At 43.9% G+C, this 11,154-nt stretch overlaps 1 pseudogene across 1 annotated transcript; it reads left to right on the top strand.

Moving 5' to 3' along the window:
* The first annotated feature begins 1,267 nt into the window (after window positions 1-1,267).
* On the top strand, window positions 1,268-9,009 carry DEFB122 (defensin beta 122 (pseudogene); annotated as a pseudogene). The gene is made up of 3 exons (NR_045677.1): window positions 1,268-1,430; window positions 1,813-1,905; window positions 8,770-9,009. The product of NR_045677.1 is annotated as a defensin beta 122 (pseudogene) (transcript).
* The last annotated feature ends 2,145 nt before the right edge of the window (window positions 9,010-11,154 follow it).

Raw genomic sequence — 11,154 nt, 5'->3', positions numbered from 1 at the left:
TAAAAAGCAAAGCAAAACAAAACAAAACAAACAAACAAACAAAGGAACCACAAATGTTGCCATTAAAGTATCTATTATGAAAATTAGATACCAAAACCAAACAGAACAAAATCATTCATTGAGTTTCTAATAAGCTTTGCAGTGAAACACTTTTATATATAAGTACATAATTAAGAATCATTAGTCATATGATCATTGATGAGAGGCAAACATCTAATGTAAAACAGATCAACCATCCAACCAACCAACAAACAAGTTATAGGAAATAGATTATGCAGACAGGAAAACATTATTAAAAGCCTCGCGAGAAATTAGAGATGCTACTACAACCATGAAACAAGAATAGGATACTACAAAAAGGAAAAGTTAGGGAATAAATAAGAACTCTTAGAAATAAAAAATATAATAGCAGAAAATGGAAAAGAAAGATTAATAGAAAAGCTGGAAGACAAATTTGATTAAAATTTTTGAGAAACTAGAGGAAAAAAGCCAAATGGATGGAAATCAGGAGAGAAAATACATAAAATTAGAGAATCAGTGCAGAGAGCCCAATATCTGGAAAATAAGAATTCTAGAAACAGGGAACAAAAAAATACAAAGAGGAGGAAGATATTACTAAAAATTATTTGAATATAGACAAAAATACGAATAGACAGTCCACAAAAAAAGGTAAAAAAGGGCGTTAAACATATGAAAAGATGTTCAGTTTCACTCATAATAAGAATTTAAAAAAAATTTGTCGTGGGTTGAATTGTGTCTTTCCCAAAATATATGTTCTAGTCCTAACACCAAGTGCCTGTGAATGTGACTTATCTGGAAATAGGATATTTGCAGATGTAATGAAGTTAAGATGAAGTCATGTTGGATAAGGGTGAGCTCTAATCCAGTGGCTGGTGTCCTTATAAGAAAAAAGAAATTTCAGCTGGGCGCAGTGGCTCATGCCTGTAATCCCTGCACTTTGGGAGGCCGAGGCTGGTGGATCATTTGAGGTCAGGAGTCTGAGACCAGCCTGGCCAACAGCGTGAAACCCTATCTCTACTAAAAATACAAAAATTAGCTGGGTGTGGTGGTAGGTGCCTGTAATCCCAGCTACTTGGGAGGCTGAGACAGGAGAATTGTTTGAACTCGGGAGGTGGAGGTTGCAGTGAGCTGACATCTCACCACTGCACTACAGCCTGGGCAACACAGTGAGACCCTGTCTCAAAAAAAAAAAAAAGAAAAAAAAAAAAAGAGAAATTTGGACAGAGACACACAGGGAGAATGCTGTATGACCACAGAGGCAGAGATTGGAGTTACGCCACTACAAGCCAATGATCATTTAGCAATCACCATGGACTAGGAGAGAAGCATGGAACAGATTTTCCCTCTGTGCCCTAAAGAGGAAGCAACACTGCCAACACTTTGATTTTGGACTTCTGACCTCCAGAACTGTGAGAGAAAATAATTTTTATTACTTTAAGCCACTCAGTTTGTTATGGCAAGTGTACTTTATTTATTTATTTTCTTTCAGATAATAAATTTATTATTGTATTATTTCTATTAAAAATAATGTAGTAAACAATTAGTCATAGGGAAAAACTTGTAGGAGGTACCAAGTTTCATCTCATGAAATTTAGTATGAAACTCAGAAATCAAGATAACAGGATACAGACCAGAGATATTCACTCTCAGGAATTTACCCTGCAGAAAGAGGAACTAATGTTTTATAAATTTATGTAACTCACCAATTATCTACAATATTTCCTCGTGGAAATGTATTCATTTTCTACAGCCAAAATCAAAGGAGATTTTCCCTATTATTTTCCTCTGTAGCATTCTAAAAGCTGAGCCTTGGAATTCTGTTTGAAATCACCTACAGAAAACACACCTGAGAAAATTCCTAAACTCTCTCTGGGAAAGAAAAAGGTAAGTAAGAATTTTTAACATAATGAAATATATGATTAGATATTAATATTTTTTGAAACCCACCACTTTTATGCCCTTTGTAAATGTTTTTGAACCTTTCTTTTTTTTTAATTTTTATTTTTTTTATTGATCATTCTTGGGTGTTTCTCGCAGAGGGGGATTTGGCAGGGTCATAGGACAATAGTGGAGGGAAGGTCGGCAGATAAACAAGTGAACAAAGGTCTCTGGTTTTCCTAGGCAGAGGACCCTGCGGCCTTCCGCAGTGTTTGTGTCCCTGGGTACTTGAGATTAGGGAGTGGTGATGATTCTTAACGAGCATGCTGCCTTCAAGCATCTGTTTAACAAAGCACATCTTGCACCGCCCTTAATCCATTTAACCCTGAGTGGACACAGCACATGTTTCAGAGAGCACAGGGTTGGGGGTAAGGTCACCGATCAACAGGATCCCAAGGCAGCAGAATTTATCTTAGTACAGAACAAAATGAAAAGTCTCCCATGTCTATTTCTTTCTACACAGACACGGCAACCATCCGATTTCTCAATCTTTTCCCCACCTTTCCCCCCTTTCTATTCCACAAAACCGCCATTGTCATCCCGGCCGGTTCTCAATGAGCTGTTGGGTACACCTCCCAGACGGGGTGGTGGCCGGGCAGAGGGGCTCCTCATTTCCCAGTAGGGGCGGCTGGGCAGAGGCGCCCCTCACCTCCGGGACGGGGCGGCTGGCCGGGCAGGGGGCTGACCCCCCCACCTCCCTCCCTGACGGAGCGGCTGGCCGGGCAGCGGGGCGCCTCACTTCCTAGTAGGGGCGGCCGGGCAGAGACGCCCCTCACCTCCCGGACGGGGCGGCTGGCCGGGCGGGGGGCTGAGCCCCCCACCTCCCTCCCGGACGGGGTGGCTGGCCCGGCAGAGGGGCTCCTCACTTCCCAGTAGGGGCGGCTGGGCAGAGGCGCCCCTCACTTCCCGGACGGGGCGGCTGGCCGGGCGGGGGGCTGACCCCACCTCCCTCCCGGATGGGGCGGCTGGCCGGGCGGGGGGCTGACCCCCCCCCACCTCCCTCCCGGACGTGGGGCTGACCCCCCCACCTCCCTCCCGGACAGGGCGGCTGGCCAGGCGGGGGGCTGACCCCCCCACCTCCCTCCCGGACAGGGCGGCTGACCCCCCCCCCCACCTCCCTCCCGGACGTGGGGCTGACCCCCCCACCTCCCTCCCGGACGGGGCGGCTGGCCGGGTGGGGGGCTGATTCCCCCACCTCCCTCCCGGATGGGGTGGCTGGCCAGGCAGAGGGGCTCCTCACTTCCCAGTAGGGGCGGCTGGGCAGAGGCGCCCCTCACCTCCCGGACGGGGCGGCTCGCCAGGCGGGGGGCTGACCCCCCCACCTCCCTCCCGGACGGGGCGGCTGCCGGGCAGAGGGGCTCCTCACTTCTCAGACGGGGCAGCTGCCGGGCGGAGGGGCTCCTCACTTCTCAGATGGGGCGGATGCTGGGCGGAGGGTCTCCTCACTTCTCAGACGGGGCGGCTGGGCAGAGACGCTCCTCACCTCCCAGACGGGGTCGCGGCCTGGCAGAGGCGCTCCTCACATCCCAGATGGGGCGGCGGGGCAGAGGCGCTCCCCACATCTCAGACGATGGGCGGCCGGGCAGAGACGCTCCTCACTTCCCAGATGGGATGGCTGCCGGGAAGAGGCGCTCCTCACTTCCTAGACGGGATGGCGGCGGGGCAGAGACGCTCCTCACTTTCCAGACTGGGCAGCCAGGCAGAGGGGCTCCTCACGTCCCAGACGATGGGCGGCCAGGCAGAGGCGCTCCTCACTTCCCAGACGGGGTGGCGGCCGGGCAGAGGCTGCAATCTCGGCACTTTGGGAGGCCAAGGCAGGCGGCTGGGAGATGGAGGTTGTAGCGAGCTGAGATCACGCCACTGCACTCCAGCCTGGGCACCATTGAGCACTGAGTGAACCAGACTCCGTCTGCAATCCCGGCACCTCGGGAGGCCGAGGCTGGCGGATCACTCGCGGTTAGGAGCTGGAGACCAGCCCGGCCAACACAGCGAAACCCCGTCTCCACCAAAAAAGTACGAAAACCAGTCAGGCGTGGTGGCGCGCGCCTGCAATCGCAGGCACTCGGCAGGCTGAGGCAGGAGAATCAGGCAGGGAGGTTGCAGTGAGCCGAGATGGCAGCAGTACAGTCCAGCTTCGGCTCGGCATCAGAGGGAGACAGTGGAAAGAGAGGGAGAGGGAGACCGAGAGGGAGAGGGGAGAGGAGAAAAGGGAGAGGGGAGAGGGGAGAGGGGAGAGGGGAGAGCGTTTTTGAACCTTTCAAGCTCTACTAATAAAATGCAATTTACAGTTTAAAAAATTGAAGTCAATATAAGTGAACAAATCTTTTCAAGGTGACAAAAACAAGTGTACTTTTATTATGGCAGTGCTAGGAAACTAACACTTCATGATAACCAATTTATTATGACAAAGGCATTAGTATATCTTTAGATGTTCATGATGCAATGAACAAGAGTGTTGTTGTTTCTGTTCAAATAGAAACAACTATACCCTTGTTCTTTCCCCATTTCTGAGGAAAGAAAAATCCACCATAGGCTATTTAGGCAAGGAAATTCTTAATGCATTCTCTTGCCTCTTTTTGGACACTGAGTTTACCTCTGAGCAATGAAAAAGAAACAAAATGTATTGAGTGTCCCATCCCATCTAACCCCATCTACAACTACAGCCAATTAAGTCACTGGAAAGAAGGCATTTGTGTTGCATCTTTAAAATCTTGAATAAATATTGAAAAAAGATACATTAAGAGTTAATGTTGAGTGATGCTACAAAGCAGGCCCCTATCATGCTCTGGACAACACAGAAACCCCTAAGGCTGAATATCCCTGTGGTCTGGACAGCATCAAGATTCTATGAAACCAACTGGAAGGAGAGATTCTGGGCTACCGATGGGAATGGTACTGAGGGACCATCTACACTTTGTCCAGAAGCATATCCAGACTGGAGTACCTTTATCTGGGTCTCCACCACATCCTAGTTGAAGGTGCTGGTGTTGTCAAAGGTAGAATCTGCCAGTGGCCAAACATGAACTGGGGGAAGGTGTGACAACCCCTGTAGCACCTAAGATGACAATAAACCCAAAGGACTCACTGATAGGTAGGCTGGCCTTTGCCACAAACATGGGAGATAGCTCCTGAGACTCCTCTTATGGTATCCTGAGGCTTCCTGTTCAGGATACCACAGAAGACCCCTACCATTTGTTCTGGACATTGCATTCTGGGCAAAAGTGAAAAGACAAGGATAGCCATTTGTTGAGAAACTAGGTCCTTGATCCTATGAAACTCTGGGATTATCATTATAAAAAAAGAGCTTCTTGTCAATTTGATAGGTGAAAAATATAGCTTGATGTCACTTTAATTCGTTGTTGTTGTTTTTAATTCCTGATGAGATTTGGCCCTAAGGAGTTTTGGTCCACCATGAACAGGTTGTGATGTCTGACATGTGCCCAGAGGTACACAGACAGAACAAGGTCTTCCCTGCTCTTTCATCAGTAGCTAATGGATCTCATGTCCAAAACAGCCTGCTGTGATGAGACCCCTTCAAGGGCTCTAGGGAGAATATTAAGCTTTTATAATAATCAGAGTAAAGTTTTGTGCTTTGACTATACAAGAAGCAGGCCCAAAGAGGGACTGTGTTTTGCAGGGACCATATAGCATATCAGGTGTAGGTATCAGGGGAAGAGGCCTCTGACCCCAGTGTGTAAAGAGAATTGGAGTCTGATAAGGGCAGCCCTGAGAATCCTAAGGTGTAAACCCAATGAGTGTTGCCTAGGCTGGGGCTGAAAACCTAGAGTTCCAGGCATTCCATTTTCCATGCCTTTTCACACCCAAAGAATCATAGTATATGAGGATTGAGTTAATCCCTACAGCCCATCTGCTCCAATCTGCTCATTGGTGAGATTAAAGCCCAGAGAAGGGAAGTGACTCTCCCAAGGTCACACAGCCACTAACTGGCACAGCCAGGACAACAAGCTGAATATTTCAGCTTGTCTTTTCTCACCCTCCATGCCAAAATGCTTCCTGAAACTGAGGATTTTAGGTACTCGGGCTTTCTTTCTTAGGAAATAATCCAATAGACACATTCTCCCTAAAATATGAATGATCGTCCTTTCTTCTTTACTCCTCTGCTCTCAAACTGGGAATTGCATTTGAAAAAAGGAGCTTGCTTCATTTACATTAGAACCATGATAATGGTGGATTTCTAAACCAGAGAATATAGGGCTTTGCAGGGCATAGTAAAGATTGTGGATTTTTTTTTTCTAGTTGTGGAGTCTTGGAGGATTTTTAAGCTGTATTATAACAAGGGCTGACATACATTTTTAAAAGTATCCTTCTGGGTGTTGTATGATTTATTTTTGCTGGTCCCTAAAAGATGATGGTGGACAAAGGGAGGCGTGCGAGCTCAGGGGTGTGGGGTCCACACTCTGGGTGCAGGGGTGTTGGGATGGTGACTGAGCATGAAAAAAAAAGGCAGGTTGTCCCAGAGCAAACTGTACCCATGGGCAGATAGTGGCACGTGTGAGTGACACACTTCCCAGCTGATTAGAGGCAGCAGAGAGTCCTGAGCTCGCCTCCATTTCCTGCCACTTCACCAGAGCCGAGACTACTCTGTGGGCTACTTGAAGTCATGAAGACTTTTTTGGTAACTTTGGCTGTGCTGCTGCTCTTCCTCCAAGTCATTCCAGATAACCTAGACCTCTCTAGGGGAGGGACTGGGAGTAGACAGTGAGTCTTGGTCAGGGCACACCAGGGCCTGGGAGGATGGGCTGACAGGGAGCAGTGTGAAATATTAATTGTCTGGAGGAAGAGGAAAGAGTCCCCAGATCCTGGTTTAGAACCTGCCTCACCATTTGCAAGTTCTGTGATGCCCCCAGCAAACTACTTGGTGCCTGTGAGTTTCAGTTTATTCTTTTCTCAATTTAAAATAATAAATTAGGTTGAAGGATCAACATTGAGGACACTGACATTTTGATGTACAACAAATATAGCTTTTTAAATTTTCTGTAATTCATTTGAATGTTTCCAGGAACTCCCATCCTGCTGGTAGGAAAAGTGGGAGTTAGAAAGGGCACAGGGATGTACACAACTTCAGAAGACAATTGTATTCATCTTTTTTGATTTAAAAGAACCTCTCAGATTAGCTCATTTTGCTTTAAAATGTTCAGTCTTTCAGCATTTCTACTTTCACCTCACCCCCTTCTTCTTCTCAGGATGGCAGCTGGATTTAGGGGATAGTGGACATGTCATTGCTTAAATAACTCGTTCAATCAGTAAATATTGTTGAGTGGATTCCGTGTGCCAGGCACAGGTGCTGGAGATAGAGCAATGAATCAACCAACTAACCAACCAACCAAACAAAATCTCCATCCTCTTGGAGCTTATGATTCTATTAGGGGAGGAAATGAGCAGGGTAAGCAGGGGATAGCAAGTATCAGGGTACGTGAATTTGCAACTTAAAAAGGGGTGTCAAGGGAATGCCTCACTGAGAAGGTGACATTCAAATGAAGACTTGAAGGAAGTGAGGGGTGAGCCGTACAGATATGTTGGGAAGAACCTTCATTTATTAGCTGAACTCCTTATCAAAGAGGCATTTTCCCTCATCTGTTTGGTTACCTTGGGGTTTAGAGAGTTCAGAGAGGAAGACAGGATAAATGCTTGAGTTTATCTTTGCTTAATTGGTTTGAGAGATAATGAATTAGTTTTCTATCAGCCTCTGAGGTTAAGCCATTAGTTTTTCTTAAATATTATTTATTTTGAACTGATGATTCTAAGCAATGAGTTCAATCTATTGCAATTATTTTCGCTATTGAAGTATACATTGTCTTATTCTTGGCCAATAGGAGTCTCTTTAATTTGGCTCGTATGTCTTTTAGATATATCCCTATTAATCTTTGGTGCTTTCTTAGTATCTGGTACGACAGAATGTTTCAAGATCATCTTGTAATTTACTGCCCAAGAACTGGAATCCACCATATCTCCAAGAAGTCCTGTTTTTTAAAAAAAGTTTACTGGGAGATAGTATTTTAAGATTATAGCATGGGTACTAGGAATACTAATTTCTACTAGTTAGTTATTGTTTCTAGACTTTCTCAGTGACCAGAGCTGGAAAAATTTCAATCTATCTATCCATCCATCAATCATCTATTTATTTTATCTATTTAAATATAAAATACTTGTGAGTTCATATTGGCATTTTCAATTCAAATTCAGAACTCAAATTCAGAATCAACTTTTATATTACATCAGTATTTTCTTTTCTATACTGAGAATTCTGGTTGTCAAGGTCACAGGGGACGATAGAATATCCCATGACTTACTCATTTGATTGATCTCTCATTACATATACAATAGTCTTAGTAAAATAATATCAATGCTACCATAATGTCATGATTACTCAAACTAGTTAAGATGTCTGCATATGTTCTCACCATTATTCTCTCATTTTTATGTTGTACTCTATTTATATTGTCAGAACATATAGCCATTATGTACTTTACTACCTCTTTTAAAATCCTCATTTTGGTTCTACAAGTATCTTTATATTTAATATTTAGTTCTGTGTCAATGCTCCTCTCATTTGCTTGTCTACAGCTCTTTTTCTAGTAGATTCTTTAGAAAGGGCTCATGGGTTTCACTGGATATTTCCTGAGTTTCAATATGGTGATAGACAATACCACCACCCTAGTTACCTAGAGGGAATGCCTCCTTCTTCTACAGCCCCCTTCTTCTGTCTGGTCCTCTGTTAGTCTTCTCAGTCCAGGACTCATTTCCCCTCATAACTGATATCAGCTCCTTTCTTTTTTCTTTTTGTAATAGGCAGGATTGAAACATGTTGGAATTTTCGTGGCTCCTGCCGTGACGAATGCCTGAAGAATGAAAGGGTCTATGTTTTCTGCGTGAGTGGTAAACTGTGCTGTTTGAAGCCCAAGGACCAGCCACATTTACCACAGCATATAAAGAATTAGTGCTTTAAAGTCTGAGGCCACAAAAATGAAGATAAACTTGCCTTAAGTCTGATGTCAGTAGATTCCTGGGCTTTATTAAAACATCTTTGGCTGACTTCTGTGTTTGTCTCTTAGTATACCTAATCAAACTCAAGCAGAAAAGGTGTGGGTAAAGTTGTATATACATGAGAGGAAACTGGACCTACTATGTGCTAGCTATTTTGGATAATTTTCCTTTTTATTTATTTATTTTTGTTTTAGAGATGGAGTCTCGCTGTCTCACCCAGGCTGGAGTGCAGTAGCATGATCATGAATCACTGCAGCCTTGAACTCCTGGGCTCAAGCAGTCCTCCTGACTCAGCTTCCCGAGTAGCTGGGACTAATACCTGGATAATTTTGTTTTTTTGTAGAGATGAGGTCTTGCTCTGTTGCCCATGCTGGTCTCAAACTTCTGGCCTCAAGCTTTCCTCCTGCCTCAGTCTCCCGAAGTGCTGGGATTATAGGCAGGAGCTGCCACACCCAGAGCTTTTCCTTTTTTATGAAAAAAGAAATCTCATCTATTCCTTAAATTTTTTTTACAGCTTTATTGAGGTATAACTGACAAATAAAAATTATGTATATTTAAGGTATGCAACATGATGATTTGATATGCAAATACATTGTGAAATGATTACCACAGTCAAGTTAATTAATACATCCATCACCTCACATGGTTACCAATTTTTTTTTTAACAATGTGTTGAAACACTTAAGATCTACTCTCTTGGCAACTCTCAAGTATACCGTATAGTATTGTTAACTGTAGTCACTGCTGTGGTTTGGACGTTTTTGTTCCCTCCAAAATTCATGTTGAAACACAATGCCCAATGCAACAGTATTAAGAGGTATGATCTTTAGGAGGTGATTGGGTCAGGAGGGCTCCACCCTCATGAAAGGGATTAGACGACCTTATAAAAGGGCTTGACAGAAGGAGTTTACCCCTTTTCACCCCATGTGTCCCTTCCCCCATGTGAGGACACAGCATTCCTACCCTCTGGGAGATGCAGCAACAAGGAACCATCTTGGAACCAGAGAAACTAGGCCCTCACAAACCGTGATCTTGGACTTCCCAGTCTCCAGAATTGTGAGAGATAAATTTCTCTTCTTTATAAGTCATTAAGCCTCAGGTATTTTGTTATGGCAGCACAAATGATCCCAGAAAATTACCATGCGTAACAGTTGATCTCCAGCACTTACTCTTCTTATAATGGAAAGTTTGTATCCTTTGACCAACTTCTCCCCATTTCCCACATCTCTCAGCCCCTGGAAACCACCATTTTATTCTCTGTGTCTGCAAATTCAACGTTTTTAGATTCCACATCTAAGTGAGATCATGCGGTATTTGTCGTTTGGTAATTGGCTTATTTCCCTTAAGATAATATCCTCCACGTTCATATGTGTTGTCATAAATGGCAGGATTTTCTTCTTTTTTATGGCTGAATAATACTTCCTTGTATAATATACTAGATTTTCTTTATCCATCCATCCATAAACAGACATTTAGGTTAACTCCATATCTTGGCTAGTATGAATAATGCTGCAATGAGCATGGGAGTGCAGGTATCTCTTCAACATACTGAATTCATTTCCTTTGGCTATCTACCCATGCATTTATCTGTTCTCACTGTGCTATAAAGAAATACCCGATACTCGGTAATTTATAAACAGAAGAGGTTTAATTGACTCACAGTTCTGCATGGCTGGGGAGGCCTCAGGAAACTTATAATCAGGGCAGAAGATGAAGAGGAAGCAAGGCACATCTTCCACGGCAGCAGGTGAGAGAGAGGGCACCAGGGGGAACTGCCAAACACTTTCAAAAACCATCAGATCTTGTGCGAACTCACTATCACAAGAACGGCATGGGGGAAACTGCCCCTATAATCCAATCACCTCCCACCAAGTCCTTCCTTTGACAAGTTGAACAGTTAAGCAGGAAAATTAAATTTATCCACAGGTCTAATTCTTATCCATTGCTTTCTCTCTATATTTGTTATTTTAATTTTCATATTTAGTTTAAATGTTTATCAAAACCATACATCTACATAGTTTTAAAAATCAACTTTGAATAAGAGACTATAATAGTATATAATAGTATAATATAAGACTATAATAAAATATAGGAGTCATCTGTCTCTCTTTCCTCATTTCCTGCTTTTCAAAAAACTACTTTCACATCTTTTGTTTTTTTCCTTTGGATTTCACTTCCATCTCTTCCGTC

This window comes from Homo sapiens, chromosome 20 (genome assembly GCF_000001405.40).
Source record: "Homo sapiens chromosome 20, GRCh38.p14 Primary Assembly".
NCBI classification, from domain to species: domain Eukaryota; kingdom Metazoa; phylum Chordata; class Mammalia; order Primates; family Hominidae; genus Homo; species Homo sapiens.
This window is presented reverse-complemented; position numbering and strand designations above follow the sequence as displayed.